The sequence below is a fragment of the Homo sapiens genome, chromosome 12, assembly GCF_000001405.40.
Source record: "Homo sapiens chromosome 12, GRCh38.p14 Primary Assembly".
In the NCBI taxonomy this organism is placed as follows: Eukaryota; Metazoa; Chordata; class Mammalia; order Primates; family Hominidae; genus Homo; species Homo sapiens.
In genome coordinates, this window is record NC_000012.12 from 26899295 (window position 1) to 26923023 (window position 23729).

A 23729-nucleotide genomic window follows, 5' to 3' on the forward strand; every position below is an offset into this window, starting at 1 on the left:
TCAATATGAACCATCTCTGGAGGGTGAAGTGGGTGCCCAAAGAACATCTAGTTAAGCCTGTAGAATTGTTAGCTGGAGAGGCCAGATGTGGTGGCTCACGCCTGTAATCCCAGCACTTTGGGAGGCCGAGGCGGGCGGATCACGAGGTCAGGAGATCGGGACCATCCTGGCTAACACAGTGAAACCCTGTCTCTACTAAAAATACAAAAAATTAGCCGGGCACGGTGGTGGGTGCCTCTAGTCCCAGCTACTCGGGAGGCTGAGGCAAGAGAATGGCGTGAACCTGGGAGGTGGAGCTTGCAGTGAGCTAAGATTGCGCCACTGCAATCCAGCCTGGGCGACAAAGCAAGACTCCATCACAAAAAAAAAAAAAAAAAAAAAAAAAAATTGTTAGTTGGAGAGCCTAACAATCAACAACATGGAGTAATATAGAAAGCTACTGGCACAGTTCAAAATCCAGCCATAGAAATTGTCTCCCAGTTGGTAGAGCACGCCTGCCTTACAAGAGATCCTGAAGGAAGCACTAAATATGGAAAGGAAAAACCAGTACCAGCCACTGTAAAAACAAACCAAATTGTAAAGACCATGAACATTATGAAGAAACTGCATCAACTAATGGGCAAAATAACCAGCTAGCATCATAAAGACAAGATCAAATTCACATATAACAATATTAACCTTAAAAGTAAATGGGCTAACTGTCCCAATTAAAAGGCAAAGACTGGCAAATTGGACAAACAGTCAGGACCCATCAGTGTGCTGTATTCAGGAGACCTATCTCACATGCAAAGACACACATAGGCTCAAAATAAAGGGATGGAGGAAGATTTACCAAGCAAATGGAAAGCAAAAAAAGAGCAGGGGTTGCAATCCTAGTCTCTGATAAAATAGACTTCAAACCAACAAAGATCAAAGAAAAAGAAGGGCACTACATAATGGTGGTAAAGGGATCAATGCAACAAGAAGGGCTAACTATCCTAAATATATATGCACCTAATACAGGAGCACTCAGATTTATAAAGCAAGTTCTTAGAGACCTACAAAGAGACTTAGACTCCCACACAATAATAGTTGGAGACTTTAACATCCCACTGTCAATATTAGACAGATCAACAAGACAGAAAATTAACAAGGATATTCAGGACTTGAACTCAGCTCTGGACCAAGTGGACCTAATGGACATCTACAGGACTCTCCACCTCAAATCAACAGAATATACATTATTCTCAGCACCACATCACACTTATTCTAAAACTGACCACATAATTGGAAGTAAAACACTCCTCAGCAAATGCAAAAGAATGGAAATCATAACAGTCTCTCAGACCACAGTGCAAGCAAATTAGAACTCAGGATTAAGAAACTCACTCAAAACCACACAGCTACATGGAAACTGAACAACTTGCTCCTGAATGACTACTGGGTACATAACAAAATTAAGGCAGAAATAAATAAGTTCTTTGAAACCAATGAGAATGAAGACACAATGTACCAGAATCTCCGGGACACAGCTAAAGCAGTGTTCGGAAGGAAATTTAAAGCACTAAATGCCCACAAGAGAAAGCGGGAAAGATCTAAAATTGACACCCTAACATCACAATTAAAAGAACTATAGAAGCAAGAGCAAACAAATTCAAAAGCTAGCAGAAGACAAGAAGTAACTAAGATCAGAGCAGAACTGAAGGAGATAGAGACACGAAAAACCCTTCAAAAAAATCAGTGAATCCAGGAGGTGGTTTTTGGAAAAGATTAACAAAATAAACCGCTAGCCAGACTAATAAAGAAGAAAAGAGAGAAGAATCCAATAGACACAATAAAAAATGATAAAGAAGAACCACTGATCCTACAGAAATACAAACTACCATCAGAGAATACTATAAACACCTCTACCCAAATAAACTAGAAAATCTAGAAAAACTGGAAAAATTCCTAGACACATACACCCTCCCAAGACTAAACCAGGAAGAAGTCGAATCCCTGAATAGACCAATAATAAGTTCTGAAATTAAGGCAGTAATGAATAGCCTACCAACCAAAAAAAGCCCAGGACCAGATGGATTCACAGCTGAATCCTACCAGAGGTACAGAGAGGAGCTGGTACCATTCCTTCTGAAACTATTCCAAACAACAGTAAAAGAGGGAATCCTCCCTAACTCATTTTATGAGGCCAGCATCATCCTGATTCCAAAACCCAGCAGGGACACAACAAAAAAAGAAAATTTCAGGCCAATATCCCTGATAAGCATCGATGTGAAAATCCTCAATAAAACACTGGCAAACTGAATCCAGCAGCACATTAAAAAGCTTATTCACCATAATCAAGTCGGCTTCATCCCTGGGATGCAAGGCTGGTTCAACATACGCATATCAATAAATGTAATCCATCACATGAACAGAACCAATGACAAAAACCACATGATTATTTCAACAGATGCAGAGAAGGCCTTTGATAAAATTTAGCACCCCTTCATGCTAAAAACACTCAATAAAGTAGGTATTGATGGAACCTATCTCAAAGTAATAACAGCTATTTATGACAAACCCACAGCCCATGTCATACTGAATGGGCAAAAGCTGAAAGCATTCCCTTTGAAATCCGGCACAAGACAAGGATGCCCTCTCTCACCACTCCTATTCAACAAAGTATTAGAAGTTCTGGCAGGGCAATCAGGCAAGAGAAAGAAATAAAGCGTATTCAAATAGGAAGAGAGAAAGTCAAATTATCTCTGTTTGCAGATGACATCATTGTATATTTAAAAAACCCCATCGTCTCAGCCCAAAAACTCCTTAAGCTGATAGGCAACTTCAGCAAACTCTCAGGATACAAAATAAATGTTGCGAAAATCACAAACATTCCTATACACCAATAACAGACAAATAGAAAGCCAAATCATGAGCAAACTCCCATTCACAATTTCTACAAAGAGAATAAATTACCTATGAATACAACTTACAAGGGACATGAAGGACCTCTTCAAGAAGAACTACAAACTACTGCTCAAGGAAATAAGAGAGGACACAAACAAATGGAAAAACATTACATGCTCATGGATAGGAAGAATCAATATCGTGAAAATGGCCATACTGCCCAAAGTAATTTATAGATTCAATGCTATTCCCATCAAGCTACGATTGATTTTCTTCACAGAATTAGAAAAAAAACTACTTTAAATTTCATATGGAACCAAAAAAGAGCCCGTATAGCCAAGACAATCCTAAGTAAAAGGAACAAAGCTGGAGGCATCATGCTATGTGACTTCAAACTATATTACAAGGCTACAGTAACCAAAACAGCATGGTACTGGTACCGAAACAGATATATAGACAAACAAAATAGAACAGAGGCCTCCAAAATAACACCACACATCTACAACCATCTGATCATTGACAAACCTGACACAAACAAACAATGAGGAAAGGATTCCCTATTTAATAAATGATGTTGGGAAAACCAGCAAGCCATATGCAGAAAACTGAAACTGGATCCCTTCCTTACACCTTAAAAAAAAATGAACTCAAGATGGATTAAAGATTTAAATGTAAGAACTAAAACCATAAAAACCCAAGAGGAAAACCAAGGCAATACTATTCAGGACACAGGCATGGGCAAAGACTTCATGACTAAAACATCAAAAGCAATGGAAACAAAAGTCAAAATTGACAAATGGGATCTAGTTAAACTAAAGAGCTTCTGCACAGCAAAAGAAACTATCATCAGAGTGAACAGGCAACCTACAGAATGGGAGAAAGTTTTTGCAATCTATCCATCGAACAAAGGGCTAATATACAGAATCTACAAGGAACTTAAAACAAATTTACAAGAAAAAAACAACCCCATCAAAAAGTGGGCGAAGAATATGAATAGACACTTCACAAAAGAAGACATTTGTGGCCAACAAACATACGAAAAAAAGCTCATCATCACTGGTCATTAGAGAAATGCAAATCAAAACCACAATGAGATCACATCTCATGCCAGTTAGAATGGCAATCATTAAAAAGTCAGGAAACAACAGATGTTGGAGAGGATGTGAAGAAATAGGAACGCTTTTACACTGTTGGTGGGAGGGTAAATTAGTTCAACCATTGTGGAAGACGGTGTGGCAATTCCTCAAGGATCTAGAACCAGAAATACCATTTGACTCAGCAATCCCATTACTGGGTATATACCCAAAGGATTACATATCATTCTACCATAAAGACACATGCACACGTATGTTCGTTGCAGCACTGTTCACAATAGCAAAGACTTGGAACCAATACAAATGCTCATCAATGTTAGACTGGATAAAGAAAATGTGGCACATATACACCATGGAATACTATGCAGCCATAAAAAAGGATGAGTTCATGTCCTTTGCAGGGACATGGATGAAGCCGGAAACCATCATTCTCAGTAAACTAACACAGGAACAGAAAACCAAATACTGCATGTTCTCACTCATAAGTAGGAGCTGAACAATGAGAACATATGGGCACAGAAAGGGGAACATCACACACTGGGGCCTGTCGGGGGGGTGGGGGAACAAGGGGAAGGATAAGATAAGGAGAAATACCTAATGTAGATGATGAGTTGATGGGTGCAGCAAACCACCATGGCACACGTATAGCTATGTAACAAACCTGCACGTTCTGTACATGTATCCCAGAACTTAAAGTATAATTTAAAAATAAATAAATAAAAGGTCAGAGCCCACTGAAAAGTAAATATGATCTATTAATTAGCTATTGGGTTATGGTTCCTTAAACCCCGAAAGTCTAAGATGTTAATTAGGCCTGGCCCTGCCTGTGTATGGTTTGTGTCAATGTATATCTAAACACAGTGGAATGGAGTAAAAGTAGCTCTATCTGAGGGAAGAGGACTGAGAATGAGACAGGAGTTGATAAAGGAGAGCAATGTCAATTTCACCAGGCTGACCTGGAAGGCTGCTGAACCCCTGTGTAAAGACCAGTTGTTTTTTTTTTTTTTTCAATAGAAAATACTGAGGGCCGGGTGCAGTGGCTCAGGCCTGTAATCCCAGCACTTTGGGAGGCCGAGGCAGGCAGATCATGAGGTCAGGAGATTGAGACTATCCTGGCTAACACGGTGAAACCCTGTCTCTACTAAAAATACAAAAAATTAGCCAGGCGTGGTGGTGGGCGCCTGTGGTCCCAGCTACTTGGGAGGCTGAGGCAGGAGAATGGTGTGAACCCGGGAGGCAGAAGTTGCAGTGAGCCAATATCGCGCCACTGCACTCCAGCCTGGGCGACAGTGCGAGACTTCGTCTCAAAAAAAAAAAAAAAAGAAAATACTGAGTCTGTATAAAGAGCTTCCTTTCTCTAATAAACACTCAAGGAAAAAAATGGCAAACTTACAATTAGCATTTAACATTGAAATAACCTACCTTTTGTAACATGTTATAAACTTCTAGATGAAGCAGCACAGGAAAAAGGCCCAAGAAACATATAACATGTAACCATGACATCTCTGAGAAATGAGACTAAGATTCTATCCAGAGATAAAATCAACCTAGTAACTTTTCTTTCTTCTAAATCTGTGAAGTAATTTCCTTTACGCTTCTCTTTCAATAAGAAAAGCAAATGGATGGAAAATATTTTGCAGAAAAATATAAAGAGTAAAACTACCCAATACTAGTAAATATAAAATTATACAACCTACCTGAAAGCTCTACTTTTAAATGGGTAAGAACACATATGCAAAATAACTTAAAACAAGATAAAAACAATGTTCTTTTTTAGAAAAGCACAATATATGATGCAGCTTAATAGGCAAAATTTTATATTAAGTATTGCAAATCTTAAACTCTCATCAAATTTTTAAAAATTCCTATAGGTTGTTTTCAGTCATTAAGTAACTAAAGTATCTTCTAAAGTAATTCTCCAATGTTTTGCATTTCAAATATTTTAATAGTTTTATTTCGCAAAGAGAAGCCTAAGAATTTTTTTAAAAACATTTCCAGAGAGAACACTTTATACCATAAAATAAACTTGTATAATTTGGGAGGACAAATCATCTCAAATGTATATTTTTGAATTATGTGCCAATTTTATAATTAGTACAAAAATGACAGCTGAAATATTTTAAAAATGTAAAAACCAGTCCAGGCAACATAACTATACCATCTTGCTGTAAAAGTACTTATATCGAATTCCGCACAAAATATTTTTGCAATATGCTAAATTTAGTTCTTCAAGTCACTCTTCACTGCCGGCTGGCTTTTCCATTTTCTGTTGTCTCCATCCTGAAATAGGAAGAAAAAAACGAGTTGATAAAATAAATATTCATTAACATTTTGTCTCCTTATCTACCTTTCACATGAAAATTAAAATAATATATTCACAGAACAGAACATCAGCATTTTAGGAAAGGACTAACATCAGGGTTCCTCTAGCTAGGCCAATTTCTTCATTTTACAGTGAAAATTGAGGCCTTGAGAGACTAAGTGACTTTCCCAAGGTTACAAGTCAAAGGCCACTGTTTTTTGTTTGTTTGTTTGACTATACCACACTCTCCCTTTCCAAGCAAAACTAAGGAAAAAATCTCTACAATTTCATCAAGAATTTATTTCCTTCCCCACTAAATAAATGTATTTCCACCAACAAATTAAGAGGATTTCTTCTAAAAAAATCAAAATAATCAGATCTGAGATTTATTTTACTATAATCAATATTCTTAATATTGTATTCCTTAATAGGAAAACATTTTCCTCTGTTATTTTACAGAGACTGGCATTATATCCTAAGTGGTATGATTTTTCCCTCTGTAATGTTTATTAAGCATTAAAAAGAAATGCTCTAAGGAGTAAATACTTTCAGGGTTACAATCAATATAACTAAGCCTTTTAGAAGCAAGAATCAAAGAGGTTAATTTTTTCTGCTTATGGGGAACATGTATTAGTTCATAATATTAGTAATAAAAAACTGCTGATTATTACAAATAAGCAATGATTGTTAAGGTACTATACAGGCAATTGACAAAACCAATTTTGACAATAAGTAACACAAACCCATTTTCCTCTTTAAGATGTTGATATAGTTCAGCTCTGTTATTAACAGAGTTCAAACGTCCAGCAAATTCCTGATGTTTTCTGGAATTGGCAGTATTGATTCTATTACTCCACAAGGATAATAACGACACTGGCCCTAGTGTTATATTTAAAAGGAGAGAGAAAAAAAAGATAGAATAATTTATTATTTCCAAATTTCCAAATTTCCAAACTTACCTTTAATTCTGTTGTTCATTTTACACAATTAAGGCAGTTAATTCTGTAGTTCATTTTACACGATTAAGGCAATCATTTTCCTCTTACTCTAAAATTTATGTGTTTCAGGGTCCCCAAGAGCAACCACTAGTTCAGTGACTGATGGAAGGACTCAAATGACTAAATGTAAAGTTACACTCCTGGTTAAGAATGATTACAGCATTACAGTAAGGAGACACAGCCAGATCGGTAAGCAGAAGGAACACATGAGGTGGAGACTGGCAGAATCCATTTGCAGGCTTCCCATGCTCACTCTCTCCAATGAGGTTTATGCAGAGTGCATACTACCTCCATAGGCAAACATGCAGCCACATGTGCACAATATTTCTGCCAGTAAAGCCTGTTTGAGTAGAGTCCAGGGTTTTTACTGGGGGCTGATCAGGTAGGTATTCTCTGCCTAACCACAATGACCAAAGTTCCAGACTTTCAGAAGGGAAGCAGGTGTTCAGTTCATTATCTAGGCAATATCTCAAAAGCCAAGTTCCCAGATGCCAGCCAACAGCCAAACCTGCAAGCAGGCTTTTCTAATTATAATAGTCTCAGGCCTGCTATGTTAACTCTTTCCTGCACAATATGATAAGGCAAAAGAATTACAATAGCCAAAACAATTTTGAAAAAGAAGACAAAAGTTAGAAGATTCTTACTTCCTCATTACAAGACTTAATTTGAAGTGACTGTGACAGTACTGGATTGGTGAAAGGACGGCCACATAAACCAACAGAATATAAAAGAGAATCCAGAAGCAGATCCCACATACATAGTCAACTAATTTCTGATAAATGTACAATATTTCAATGAAGAAAGGATAGTCTTTTCAATAAATGCTGCTGGAACATTAGGACATCGTAGGCAAAAGGATTAATATTGACCCATACTTTGTACCTTATAGAAAATAACTCAAAAATTGATCATGACCTAAATGTAAATCTAAAATTACAGAACTCCTAAAAGAAAATCAGCCTTTGTGACCCTGGGTTAGATTTCTAACATGTAACACCTAAAGCATAATCATAAAAGCAAAAATGGATGTACTTGACTTCATCAAAATAAAAAGCTTCTGTTGTGCAAAAGTCATTTATAAGAGAAGAACAACCCACAGACTGGGTGAAAATACTTGCAAATCACCTGTCCAACACAGAACTTGTATCCAGATAAATAAACAACTCTCAAAATCCACTAATAAGAAACAATCCAATTTTATAATGTACAAAATATTTTAATGGACCTTTCACCCAAGAAGACAGACAACAAATAAGCAAAGGAAAAGAGTTTTACCATCATTAATCATGAGAGAAATGTAAATTAAAACACCAATGAAATACCACTACATACCTTATAGGATGAAAAACAAAAACAAAACAAACAGTAACCCTGACAACAGCAACTGGACAAGGATGCAGAACACCCAGAACTCTCACATACTGGTGGTGGGAATGCAAAATGGTGCCACCACTTTGGAAAAATAAGCTGGCAGTTTCTTATAAAATTAGTCATTATAATACTATGTGAAAAAAGCCAATCTCAAAAGGTGGCATGACATTTTCTTTCATTTATAAGACATTCCGAAAAATTACAGGGAGCACAATTATAGGAAGAGAAAACATATCAGTAGTTACCAGGGATTGAGGAGGAGAGTGAAGGATGACTACAGGGATTGAGGAGGAGAGTGAAAGATGACTACAAAGGGTCAATATGAGGAAATCTTTTGGGGTGACAGACTGTTGTGTACCCTGATTGTGATGGCGGTATGCATTGTCTAAACTCACAGAACTGTACATCAAAAAGAGCTAATATTGTCATATATATTTTAAAATTCTTAGTTTTCTTATTATAAAACTAATGCATGTTCATGAGAACAAATTTAGAAAACAATAAAACACATAAAGGAGGAAATAAAATCATCCTAATGCCACTGCTCTAACAACTAAAAATTTTAGTCTTTTTTTCAGTGCCAATCTATATCAACAAATGGTTATTTTGGTTTTTTTTTTTTGTTACTGCATCATACAAAGAGAGTTGAATAGACGTTTGCCAAATCTAGATGGCACATTTGGAATAGCCTAGCCTTAAGTACAGTGTATACAGCAGGCACAAAATTCACTTTGGGGAGGCCTGGAAAGTCATTTTCCAAAGCAGATAAAACTGAGGTATAATAAAAGGCCCAGATCAGTTGCTGATCAGAAGAGACATGCAATTTAGGTCATAAAATAGAATGAAGGAAAAAACAAACACTTTTCAAATATCAGCCTCAAATAGAAAGTTACAAGGAAAGGCAGTAATATGCAATCAAGTTGCTTCTCATATGAGCTATTTCATATAATATTTCCAGGGCGAAAAACATCAGGGATCCATTTAATTTAATGATAGCTGATATTTCATCTAAGTGACAAGCTAGTACATATGTGTATGAAAACTTAAAATTGAGATCACAGTACATATGTTTATGTAACCTGCTTTAAAAAAACTTATTTACACATTCATTCAATAATTATTCTTGGGTTATATAAATACCACCCTGTGGGGGCTGGGCGCAGGGACTCATGCCTGTAATCCCAGCACTTTGGGAGGCTAAGGCAGGCGAATCACCTGAGGTCAGGAGTTCGAGACCAGCCTGACCAACATGGTGAAACCCTGTCTCTACTAAAAATATAAAAATTAGCTGGGTGTGGTGGCAGGCACCTATAATCCCAGCTACTCGGGATGCTGAGGCAGGAGAATCACTTGAACCCAAGAGGCAGAGGCTGCACTGGGCTGAGATCGTGCCATTGCACTCCACCCTGGGCAACAAGAGTGGACTCCATCTCAATAAATAAATAAATACATACATACCACCCTATGGACACACCATTATTCAGTCATTTTCCTACTAATATGGCTTTTAGGTGCTTGCAATTTTTGCCAGTATAGATAATACTCTTTTTTTTTTTTTTTTTTTTTAGAGATGGAGTCTTACTCTGTCGCCTGGGCTGGAGTGCAGTGGCATCTTGGCTCACTGCAATCTCTGCCTCAGTAATACTCCTTAGAGTTCTATTTACCAAGCAATGCTGAAACACTGTTTAGAGTAGACCTAAATTTCTCATCCTAATGAAGAGTGGTATATTTTGTCATATGAGAAATAATTTATCAAAAAACATCTATTTAAATCCTATTATTTTCTGGGCCCTCTAGCAAATGCCTGAAAGGCAAATATAATAAGATCACCTCAAGGGTGATCTCTGGCTTCAAAGAAACTAGTGAACTGAAGAATATAACATGTATCACTATATACATACACTATAACAAGCATATAAAAAGCAAACAAGCCTACCTTCTCCCTAGGATGAGCTGCCAATATTCATAAGCTGGTTCTACTGCCTTAGGAGAGGCATAGTGGCAGGACATCAGGTAGTCTAATGACGGCATACCATTACACATGTATCCTAAAAAGACTAAATCTAGTTTGCCTTCAAGATAACTAAAGCCTAGAACGATTTCAGGAGCTGCCAATCCCAAATCATATCCTTGGTGCCTAGAATTCCTTCAAGAGGAAACTAAACTTTTTAGCCTATAAGAGATTAAGAGGCTTTACAGTGAAAATATTGTTTATAATAATAACTACACTGAAACTCAAACACATTTTAATATAGCAATAAATGAGTGATATTACATATTTCTAGGTTTCGTAAGAGTTTAGGGTCAAAAGAGTTTGTATTCAATATCTCAGCTCTTACTATAGTATCAGGAACATAAACAGATTCAAGTTTACATATTTAAAATTTCTTAAAACACAAACTTTATATGCTTATTTTCCAAAGGCTTCATTAATGAAAGTATAACACTACTTGTTTTTGTTTTTAACACTGACAAATATATTTACTGCCTGTATTCTCTAAGGCTGTGATACGGTTTGGCTGTGTCCCCACCCAAATTTCCATGCTGTTCTCGTGATAGTGAGTGAGTTCTCACTAGATCTGATAGTTTTATAAGGGGCTTCCTCTCCCTTTGCTCTGCCCTTCCCCTGGCTGCTGCCATGTGAAGAAGGACATGTTTGCTTCTCCTTCTGCCATGCCTGTAAGTTTCCTGAGGCCTCCCAGCCATGCTGGAACTGTGAGTCAATTAAACCTCTTTCCTTTAAAAATTACCCAGTCTTGGGTATTTTTATCTTTATTAGCAGCATAAGACTGGACTAATACAGGTTGTAAACAGAGAATGTCCTAAACAACACCCACAAATACTTAAGAACTCTTCCTCACATACACAACAATATTAAATAACACTGTACAAAACAGAGCTTCATTGGAAAATTTTTTTTTTTTCTGAAACAGAGTCTTGCTCTGTCGCCCAGGCTGAAGTGCAATGGTGCGATCTTGGCTCACTGCAACCTCCGCCTCCCAGGTGCAAGCGACTCTCTAGCCTCAGCCTCCCAAGTAGCTGGGATTACAGGTGTGTGTCACCATGCCCGCCTAATTTTGTATTTTTATTAGAGGTGGGGTTTCACCATGCTGGCCAGGCTGGTCTTGAATTCCTGACCTCAGGTGATCTGCTTGCCTCAGCCTCCCAAAGTGCTGGGATTACAGGGGTAAGCCACCACACCCGGCCTGGAAAACTTTTTATAAACCTAGTTACCACAGCTGTACCTTACCTTTTGATTTTTCCACTTGTGGAGTTTCATCCATTTCAACAAGGGGTTTTTTGTTTGGAGGTTCTGGGGAATCAGGCGAATCTTTTATAATCTCAGCTTCAGCCAATTCTTCTTTTCCACGCTCTAAGATTCCTTTTAATCTTTTAGAGGGACAAATAATGAAATGTAAAGTTCAAATTTTTAGAAGTCTAATGGTCTAATAATTAAACTAACTTTGCATATCAACCTTTATAAAAGATGGCTAATCTCATAAAATAAACCTAGGGACTAATCAAAAATCTCAATCTAAAACCAGGTAACAGAAATTAATGAATTAAATACAAGTTTCCCTTTTCCTTCATAATAATAATGCAATGATTCAGGAATTAGCTGTAAAATATAAAAAAAAAGAAGATACTTAAATTAAAATTTAAAAGGTAGGAAATGATGTGATCTTCAGAAGAAATTGCACAATTCTGATTTTTAAAGATAGGAACAAAATAACACTGAATTTCAAATTACAAATAAGATTAATAAGTTTATTCCCATTTATTCTCTAGTCTATGTATTGTGTAGATGTATTTATGTTCTGCAAATCAGAAACTTAACTCTAAACTTTTAGAGTTTCATCAGAGAACAAAAACACTTGCAAAATATACAAGAGTGTACTTGAAGCTCAGTGGGACCTAAATGATAGTACTTTTTCCCTCTTACAGTGAGCCAGTAGTGTTTCAGAAGCTCAGCAGCCCTAAGGAAAACATGAGCTTCTAAAGTCAAAGAGAATAAAAGTATTCTATTATTAATGGATACAATTACAGGATTTCCAGAATTAGCTTCAAAATATTCCTATGGGTGTAGTGGTAAAGGTAGTGGATGAAGATATATATGAAATGAGATCTGCCATGAATTGTTAATCATTGAAGGTAGATGATGAGTAACTATCTGTTCTTTTGCTACATATGTTTGAAATTTTCCATCATAAAAAGATGTGTTTTTCGTCAGTCGCAGTGGCTCATGCCTGTAATCCCAAGCACTTTGGGAGACCAAGATGGGCAGATCGCCTGAGGTCAGGAGATCGAGACCAGCCTGGGCAACATGGTGAAACTCCATCTCTACTACAAATACAAAAAATTGGCCAGGCATGGTGGCACATACCTATAATCCCAGCTACCTGAGAGGCTAAGGCATGAGAATCACTTGAACCCAGGAGGCAGAGGCTGCAGTGAGTCGAGATCATGCCACTGCATTCCAGCCTGGGTGATAGAGCGAGACTCTGTCTCAAAAAAATAAATAAAAATTAATTAATTTTAAAAAAAGTGACCTGGTGTTGGTCTGATTTCTGGCAAGTGGATAGAGGATATAGCCAGAGGATACGCTATTTCTATTTATAAGCCTTTATTACTTTTATGTTTTTCAGATTTAACGCTGACATCATAATATAAATCACAAACTAAAGGAAAAGAGTATACTATTAAGAAACATTTTCAGAATAGACTGTATGCCCTTCTTCTGTGCTTCCAAGGACATCCTATGCCTATTTTTATAATAGCACCTTCCACACTTTGCTGCAATCACTTTTTTTTTTTTTTGAGACAAAGTCTTACTCTATTGCCCAGGCTGGAGTGCAGTGGAGGAATCTCGGCTCACAGCAACCTCTGCCTCCCAGGTTCACGTGATTCTCGTGCCTCAGCCCCTTGAGTAGCTGAGATTACAGGCATGCACCCCCATACCCAGCTGATTTTTGTATTTTTTTAAGTAGAGACAGGATTTTGCCATGTTGGCCAGGCTGGTCTCAAACTCCTGACCTCAAGTGATCCACCCGCCTCGGCCTCCCAAAGTGCTGGGATTACAGGTGTGAACCACTGCACCCAGCCTGCAATCACTAATTTGTCTGTCTCTAGCATCACACTGTATGTTCTTCAAGGGTAGGGATCTTGTGCCAAATGCCTGGCACATCATAAGCATTCAGTAAATATTTAGTGAACAGAGGAATAAAATTATGTCTGTGAAGTTCACAACACATAAAGCACATACTGATACCAAACATCATGCATTATGATTTTCAGAAGTTAATTAGGAAAAACTAACACTAACTTTGCCCCAACAGTAAAAATTCATACTTTTTTGTGCCCAAGAAAGATCCTCTAGATTTTAAGAATGATAAAATTACAGTAATGAAAATGAATAAACATGTATTAAATGAACTACTATTAAATCAGGTTTGAATGTATGAAAGTGTTCTATGCAGAATGTGATATAACAAAAGGCACCATGGTGCTATATCAATGCCAGGAAGTCACCTCTCTGAGTCTTGCCAAGACTTTTCCTGTTCATAATCTTTCACTGCTTTCTCTGACTTGTCCTCTTTGTCTTCCCTCTTTCTTCCTCGTTTCTTTCGTTCTTCCTCTTCTGGGGGTTTGCTCCTGCATGCCATCAGACATTCCAAGACTCTTTGATGTTTCTCTGAGTTGTTGATATGGGCTCTGACAAGGGTTTCTAATTCATTCCACATGATACGGTATTGTTCATCTCTGCAGCAAAGATTTGGAAATACTCTTTAAATAATATTGAAGTGTCACTTTCTAGTGGTAAAGTAAAAACAAATAATGAAATGTGGACTTCCTTCCTCTTACTTGGTACTTAATAGTGAAATTCTAGGCTACAATATATCCATTTCTATGATTTTGTATTATTTCATCTCAAATATATATATAAACATGTCCTCAAATAGAATTTACATATGGAATAAGTTATCTTGAGAAACAATATGTATCAAGTAAATGTGATCTATAAAGTAAGAAAGAAAAAAAAATGTACCTTTTAGGGCCCTTTCCTCTTGTACCAACTGTGGAAATAGGTAGAGGATCATTTTTTCTTTCCATATCAACTAAGTTGTATATTGTTTTTTGACAGTTTAACACATCTTCTTCTGTCAGAGATTCTTTCACAATAACACTGGCTAATGGAACTACCTGTTAGATTTTTTTTAAAGAAAAAAGAAAATCTGTCTTGAAAAATAAATATCAAAACATCTAGGCAGAACTTGATTTTCGAAAGGATTTTAAAGATTATCATGGTGAAGGAATCTATAACTATCACTTCAATTTTTAATTATTAATTCTTTAACTTTAGCAAGCTCATATATTTCATTCTTTGCTTAAGAAATGGTATAAATTACAAATTGTCTAATTGATTTCTATAAAGAATATATAACTAATCTATAAGAAAAGTTGAAGCTACTTAACACTTACCGCTTGCATGTTAAAAATGGTGGTTTGTGAAATGATCATAGGCCAGTAACGGGTATGTTTTTCTAACTGATCTTTTGCTCGTTCCAAAGGGACCTCAAGACTTCCATCGATTTTATATCTGGGGTCTAGAAAAGGAGTTAATCTGTTTTCCCTCATAAATTCACCAAAATCCTAATGATAACCAAATAAGATAAAATTAGAAACTATGTCTAATGTTTCAGTATGGATTACATGTACTAGTCTGTTTCCCTGATGTCTTCTGTCCTGTGATGTGCAACAAAACATTTTTTCTAACAGTATCCCTTAACTCCACTACTTTTTTATCCTTTCTGAACTTGAAACCTATCAGCCTTTATATGATGAAAATGAAGAAAGCCTCAAACATAAATGCATTCATGGTATGTTTTCCCCACCTTTTGTAAAAACCAAGGAACACTTTTTTTCCCCTTCTGTAATTTAACTTTTCTATCACACACAGATAAAAGAGTCAGTTAATCACATTAGAAGACCCATTTGCTTATTTAAAAACTACCTTGAGGTTGGGCACGGTGGCTCACACCTGTAATCCCAACACTTCAGGAGGCCAAGACAGGTGGATCACCTGAGGTCAGGAGTTCGAGACCAGCCTGGCCAACATGGTGAAACCCCATCTTTACTAAAATACAAAAATTAGCTGGGCATGGTGGCAGGCGCCTATAATCTTAGCTACTCGGGAAGCTGAGGCAGGAGAATCGCCTAAACCCAGGAGGCAGAGGTTGCAGTGAGCCAAGATTGCGCCACTGCACTCTAACCTGGGCAACAAGAGCGAAACTCTGTCTCAAAACAAACAAACAAACAAAAAAACTACCTTGACATAACATAAACATGTCAACAATAGTTATCTGTGAATGATGAAATTATAGGTAATTTACAGGTGTGGGTGTTTTTTTACGATATCTATATTCTCTAAATTTTCTACAATAAATATTGATTAGGCTTCTCCTTATTTAAATATTATGTTTTTTAAAAAAATCCTAATTAAAAAGTTACTTACAGTATATAACAGTTTGTGGTTTACAAAGCATATTCATATATATAAATCACACTTAGTTTTTACAACCACCTCAAGAAGTAAATAGCTATGAAATACCAAATAGGAAAGAGAGGAGGGAGAATGAAAAATCAAGATTAGAACAGAATTTCTACCAAAAATGGACATAAATTTCCTTTTATGTTCCTCCCAATAATACAAAAGTTTATGTTATTTCTAAGTAGCAGCAATCCAAATATTCCAGGTTTCTGTTTGCCATTTAAATTACTAGAAATTAAGTTTCACCTAAAATATTAGTTCAAATCAATTTATTATTTCCTACAATTCCAGCGTGTCATTGCAATTCAGATACATCTCAGTATATACTGAATATACAATAAGATTAAACAATGATAAATAGAATTTTTGAGCAAATATTGCAGGAAATTCACCTAATTAAAATAATAATCAACTTCTTCCAGTCTCTTTTTTTCCACAGACCTTAGCATTTAACGAGCACTCGATAACTACTTGCTGAATGATGACAGATTCAAAACTTAAAATTTATAGATATTAGAGTCTTACTGTAATCCGGTAGTCTGTAACTCTTCCTCCACATCCTTCACTAATTGAAGGTGGATCTTCTAGAATGGATCGAGAACTGCTAAGGACGTGCAAAAAAATCTCTCCTCCATGGCTACTAAGCATATGACTAATGACTTTAGAACCTGACTTTCGTGGTTGTTCCAATAAAACAGAACGACCTGTCAAAAACAAGATTACACTATCAGTAATGAAACTCAAATGGGCTCTCATTTATTTCCTTGAGATTTATGTCTAGATTTTTTCATTTTATTTATTGATCCCCGTATTTTAACCAGCATTGCTAATTTAGTGTATCTACTCTTCCATGCCTAAAAATCTGAATTCTAGCCTTAACTTTATCTCAGTTACTCCAAGGTTACATAGTTAATACAGTTTCTCACAACAACTATAGTGGTCTCTGGCATAATACGTTTGGCTATATGGTTCATCCAATTACATGTACATATTGAATTTTTCTCCTGGACCTCAAGAAGAAAAGTGAGACAACTGCTCCATAATCCTCAGGTTATTAATGCTACAGAACATTTGGGGAGAAGGCACAGTCTCAGTTCACTTACACAACAGTTCCTCATCCACACTGTAATCATAACTACTTTCTATTCTACATGTCCAAATGTTAATCTGAATTTCACCTAGTCTGATAATCAAATTATGCTTAACTAAGAATGACATAACCTTATGATAAAGACAGACTGACTCTTTAGATCACTAGTTCCAAAACCTGAGATGATCATAAGAATTACCAGAGAAGCTTTTAATTTGGAATCAAATAATTAAGACTTGTAAAAAATTTTCACACAATGAAACCAGAGATTTAAGGTCACAGGTAAGAATCATATGGTATAATACTAAAAACATAATATTTATTTATGATAAAGGTATCATGTTCAAATATAAGTAAGTCCACCTTTGATTTGATTTAAAATTCAATGGGCCAAGATAAATGGTCTATATTATTCTAGCTTCTATTTAATTCTTCAAATCTATTTTCTAATTATAGCTTCTAAAACAAATCAATTTAGACTCTGAAGGTCAAATTTTTTAAATAAAAATACTCACAATTTTATTAAATAAAACCTGCTTAGATGCAATAGCCTGAAAGCCAAACCTAAAGTCATCTTTTAAATGTTAGTAAAAACTGTTAAAGGGTATTTCAAATTACATAAGTTTAAAACAGCTTTGGCAAATAAATGGCAAAGCTACAGTGATGAATATAGCTTTCCAGAGTTCATATTCTTAATAATAATTTCACTCAAATAATAATTTAATAATAAATAATTCAAATAATATAAATAATTTCAGTCAAAACCATTAAATAATTAAAGTTACCATTTAGAAGAAAATTAGTAAGGCAGGAGGAAGGTCTACTATTTACATCTACAGGTGAAATCCGATAAGCTCCAGTACAATAGTGTAATTCTGAAATAGAAGAAAACACTGATTTGAAAGAATATAAAGAAATATTCCCACAATTAAAAGAAAGAAAAAAAAACTTCTTCACTGAGTTCATTGAGTCCTGAAACAATGAAAAACGAAAATGCAAAACAGAATAAATTGACCCCCATATAATACCTTAAGAACCTTTTGATTTCGTCTTTTTCAGTTATTCTTAAATACCTACCAATGTTATTTGTCCTTGGTGTACACCACTTTAATGTTATTGTTTCTTTAAACGAGCCTTCTCGACTGCCGCCACCTAGATGCGAATCACCTTTAAAAATATGTCAGAGACATTACACATTGTATACATGTATCAAAACATCACACTGTATCCCATAAATATGTACAATTATGTTTTAATTTAAAAAATAATAAAAGCGGCCGGGTGCAGTGGCTCATGCCTGTAATCCCAGCACTTTGGGAGGCTGAGGCAGGTGGATCACGAGGTCAGGAGTTCAAGACCAGCCTGACCAAGATGGCGAAACCCTGTCCCTACTAAAACTACAGAAATGTGCCAGGCGCAGTGGCAGGTGCCTGTAATCCCAGCTATTCGGGAGGCTGAGACAGAAGAATCGCTTGAACCTGGGCGGCAGAGGTTGCGGTGAGCTGCGATCACGACACTGCACTCCAGCCTAGGCAACAGAGTGAGACTCTGTATCAAAAAAATAAATAAAATAATAATAATAATAAAAGCAAAAAATAATAATAGAGCAAACTGGGTATGGAGTAACCGGAACTCTGTACTGTCTTCACAATTTTTCTGTAAATCTGAAACTACTCTAAAATTAAAAGTTCACTTAAAAACAACAATGAAAAAAATGTCAGAGAAACACTAACATTATCAAGTAGATCACAAGCTTCAAATTATTTACCAAGATTTCCAAATGAGTTTAAACTCTCCAAGGGAAAATATCTCTGAGACAACATCTTTTTATCAGGTCCCCTGGACAAATACCAAAGATATTATCTATGATTAAAATAAATAGTAATTTTCCTCCACATTCATCATTAATCAATCATTTAGGTCATTGCACTGAAAGTCAATAGCAAGAATTTAAAAAATCTCAAGCATCTACAACTGCTCTTCCCTGCCCACACTATTAAATGATAAAATGACATGGTTAAGTACTCAGAAAAAGCTTAAGGAATCTAAAATGCACAACCATACTGAATTCTAATAAGTTTAGTTAGAAGAAACACAAACCAAGGGATCTGGAAAGTAAATACGTAAGAAGATATTAATCTAATAATAATGAACAAATGTGCAACCATAAAGCTGACAAGGCTTTGAAGGAAAATCTACAGTGCTATGAGTGCCTGTAGAGGGAGATCTGTCCTATTCCAAAACACCAGGAGAAGTTTCCTTGAGAAGTGAAGACTGGTCTGAGTTATAAGGGTATGAGTAGAAATTAAGTAAAGAAATGGAACAGATGCAGTGTCTCACATCTAAAATCTCAGTGCTTTGTGAGTCCTAAGTGGGAGGATTGCTAGGAGGTCAGGAAACTAGCCTGGGCAACATAGTGAGACCCTGTCTCTATGGAAAAAATACAAAAATTAGCCAGGCTTCGTGGTATGCACCTGCAGTCCCAGCTACTCCGGAGGCTGAGGTGGAAGGACTGCTTGTAGCCCGAGGGGTCGATGCTGCAGTGAGCTATGATCACACTACTGTACTCCAGTCTGAGTCACAAAGTGAGACTCTGTCTCAGATTAAAAAAAGAAAAAAAGAAAAAAAAAAAGAAGAAGAAATAGAGGAAAGACTATTCAGGCAAAAGAACAATGGATACCAAGATACTGTGGCAGGAGGAAGCATGAAAAATATTAGATCTGTGTGGCTGAAACAGAGAAGATTAGTATGCTTTGAGATGAGAATAAAAAGGGGGAGGGGGCCAGACAATGAAGGGCCTTGTAAGACATTTAAACAGCTCTGTTGTTTCCTAAGGGCAACAGAAAAGCATAGGCACGGGGCGGGTTTAAGGTCATGAGAACATGGTCAGGATTAGCATTCTGAAAGTTACTGTAGCTAGAGGGTAAAGAGTAGATAGGGACAGGCCATTTAGTAGGCTACTGTGAGATACTAGGTAAGGAAATAAAAGGCTGGATTAGGGAAATGTTATTGGTAGCTAAGATGGAGATTTTGATGTACGAGAGAAAAATTAGTAGACAAAATCAAGAAAATGTGATGATGGATTAGATGTCTCAAAAACGATTCTGAGGTTTTCTGCCTTACATAAATGAACAGACAACAGGGCCATTCACTGAAAAAGGAAACAGACTAGTTCAGGTGGCAAAGCTCCTAAGTTGTTTTGGGCATGTTGAAGTGTAGGTGACTGAGAGACATCTAAGAGATACAATTAGGAAGTAGAATATAAAGATCTGGAATTTAGGGGCCGGGCACGGTGACTCACACCTGTAATCCCAGCACTTTGGGAGGCTGAGGGGGCGGATCACGAGGTCAGGAGATCAAGACCATCCTGGCTAACACGGTGAAACCCCGTCTCTATTAAAAACACAAAATATTAGCCAGGCATGGTGGTGGACACCTGTAGTCCCAACTACTCGGGAGGCTGAGGCAGGAAAATGGCGTGAACCCAGGAGGCAGAGCTTGCAGTGAGCCAAGATCGCGTCACTGCACTCCAGCCTGGGCGACAGAGCGAGACTCTGTCTCAAAAAAAAAAAAAGATCTGGAACTTAGGGAAGGTATCTGGGCTAAAGTATAAGCCTACTCACCAAGACCTAGCTACACTGTTACCACCTCAGTAAAACCTGCCTAACTCTTACTGGCACAACCACAGGCAGCCTCCTCCGTGCTCCCACAGCACTCTGTTCCTATTGTTAAAATAACTTTTGACACATAGTGTCCACATGTAATGCATATAACTACAGGCCAAGTCAACAACTATTTTAAAGAACTATTTTGTGTTACAAAGGATATTTTTGACACTTTTTTTTTTTTTTGAGACAGAGTCTCGCTCTGTCGCCAGGCTGGAGTGCAGTGGCATGATCTCAGCTCACTGCAACTTCTGCCTCCCGGGTTCAAGCGATTCCCCTGCCTCAGCATCCCGAGTAGCTGGGACTACAGGCGCACGCCACCATGCCCGGCTAATTTTTTGTATTTTCTAGTAGAGACGGGGTTTCACCATGTTGGCCAGGATAATCTCTTGACCTCGTCATCCACCTGCCTTAGCCTCCCAAAGTGCTGGGATTACAGGTGTGAGCCACTGCGCCTGGCCCATTTTTGTAAGTTTTTAAAATAACATTTTAAAAATTGATATCACATCACAGGTTCGTAGCAATTTCCATGTAATATATTTTCAAAAACAAGTTCTCTATATTCCTTTGGTAAACGTTTATATATCCCTGCATCATAATAGTTTCTTTCATGTTAGCAGTTCATTAGGTTTATTCTAAGATTCCTCAGACATGTAACAAATGTCACAATTGGCTCATGATTATGCTTCAGAAGATGCATACAACATAATCAAAGTCAACCGTTTCTCTGGCAGCATCAATTTACTAGAAAACATTCTAAAGAATTTAACCAAATGTCAAAGCTTAAAGGCTTTTAAAATGACCTTCAACATCTTAAAATTTTCATTGTATTTTAGAATTGAATGGAATACTACAGCTCATCTAATCCAGCATCTTTCATTCATAAGCATGCAAACATACATCTAGAAACATATGGGTCTTGCCAGTTGGTGGCAAAGCTTTAGCTAAAACTTATCTCCTAACTCCAGAGTCTTCTCCCCTAAACCAAGCCAATACAGTTGCAGAAATCAGTTTGGGAGATGAGATCTATGGATTGAAATAATTTTTAGAGGAAAAAAAACTAACTTAAATTTCAAAATTTAATTTCTAGGCCAAGTTGAAAGTCTATCACTCTTTCGAGTTTGCTCCTATTCTTTTCCCTTCCTCAAGGTTGTTTGCCTGCAAATGAAACTGTAATGAGTTTGAGAAAGCCATGGCTATCTTTCTCAGTATTTGTTCTATTAGCCCAGTCTTTTCCGAAGTAAATTCCACAGGACACTAGTTCCATTGCCATTAATAGGTGATACTGACAGATAAGTTTGCACAGGGATGAACTAGTCAGTCTGGTTTGTACTGAAGAACTTCTCAAAGCTGTTACAGTAGTCCCCCGACTTTGCTGTGTCGCTTTCCGTGGTTTCAGTACCTGTGGTCAACTGCAGCCCCAAGATATATATGTATTTTTTGAGATGGAGTCTCACCCTGTTGCCCAGGTTGGGGTGTAGTGGCATGATCTCAGCTCACTGCAACCTCCGCCTCCCAGGTTCAAGAGATTCTCCTGCTTGAGCCTCACACGTAACCAGGACTACAGGTACACGCCACCACACCTGGCTAATTTTTTAATTTTTAGTAGAGACGGGCCTTCGCCATGTTGGCCACGCTTGTCTCGAACTCCTGACCTCAAGTGATCTGCCCACCTTGGCCTCCCAAAGTGCTAGGATTACTGGTGTGAGCCACTACCCCCGGCCTGCAGCCCAAAAACATTAAATACAAAATTCCAGAAATAAACAATTCATAAGTTTTACACTGCATGCTGTTCTGAGTAGCATGATGAAGTCTCACACTATGCCACTGTGTCCTGCCTGGGATGTGAATCATTCCTTTGTCCAGCATATATATGCTATAAACACTACAAGTCCATTAGCAGCCTTCTTGGTTATCAGATCCACTGTCGAGGTATCATAGTGCTTGTGTTTAAGGTCCATAGTAGCCTAATGCTATGTCACAATACCTGTATCATTCATCTCAGTTTATCTCATCATGTAGGTATTTTATCATCTCACATCATCCCAAAAACGATGAGTACAGTACAATAAGATATTTTGAGAAAGAGGGAGAGAGACCAAGAGACTACATTCATATAACTTTCATTATAATATATTGTTATAATTGTTCAATTTCATTCTTATTGTTATTGATCTCCTGCTTTGCCTAATTTATATATTAAACTTTATCATAGGTATGTACGTATAGGAGAAAACAGTGTATACAGTATAGGGTTCGAGACCATCTGAGATTTCAGGCATCCACTGGGGGTCTTGGAATGTCTTCCCTGAGGATGTGGGGGCTACTGTAATATGCTTTCATATGTTAGATCATACAAAATAATACTTTCAAATGTCTCTTACCACTTTTCAGGAAATCTACATGTGCATCTTTGTGATGAAGTAGCTCCACATCATAATTGGCAGATGTGTTAGCATGCTGTTCTTCCTTGAAGTAAAATTTCAAACATTTTAAAAAACTTGGTTTTGCTTTCAAAATAATAAAATTATTAATTATTCATTTGCTTTTTGTTTAAAATGAGGGCAAATACATTCAATAATAATTAGCTAAAATAATGGGATAATCTATTTAAAGATGCAAGTGTTCCATGCAACATAAACTCCATTAAAAAACAACTGGCAATATACAGGTAATAAAGTATTTAATGATTTTTTTACATTATGTCAGAATTAACAAAGATGACTAACTCAGAAATTTTGAATTTTTTTTACTCCAAATGCAGTCTTGCCAATATTTTTAATATACAAATA

The 23729-nt window shown here is 36.9% G+C and overlaps 1 protein-coding gene across 17 annotated transcripts in view; it reads right to left on the reverse strand.

Annotated features, from left to right (window-relative positions):
- Window positions 1-5886: 5886 nt before the first annotated feature.
- INTS13 (integrator complex subunit 13) overlaps window positions 5887-23729 on the reverse strand; it is a 33152-nt gene continuing 15309 nt past the window's right edge. For 4 of the 17 annotated variants that reach the window (XM_047429145.1, XM_017019632.2, XM_017019634.2 and 1 more), the window contains 10 exons: window positions 23322-23406; window positions 18350-18439; window positions 18058-18147; window positions 16708-16886; window positions 15114-15284; window positions 14680-14834; window positions 14163-14393; window positions 11884-12023; window positions 7008-7143; window positions 5887-6242 (listed from right to left, as the gene is read on the reverse strand). In XM_047429145.1, the coding sequence (XP_047285101.1) occupies window positions 6203-6242; window positions 7008-7143; window positions 11884-12023; window positions 14163-14393; window positions 14680-14834; window positions 15114-15284; window positions 16708-16886; window positions 18058-18147; window positions 18350-18439; window positions 23322-23406 (1317 nt within the window). In that variant the 3' untranslated portion in view covers window positions 5887-6202. Of the gene's footprint in view, window positions 6243-7007; window positions 7144-11883; window positions 12024-14162; window positions 14394-14679; window positions 14835-15113; window positions 15285-16707; window positions 16887-18057; window positions 18166-18349; window positions 18440-19040; window positions 19112-23321; window positions 23407-23729 lie in introns of those variants that run through there. The other 13 variants (XM_024449055.2, XM_017019635.2, XM_047429147.1 and 10 more) reach the window with 7 other exon arrangements.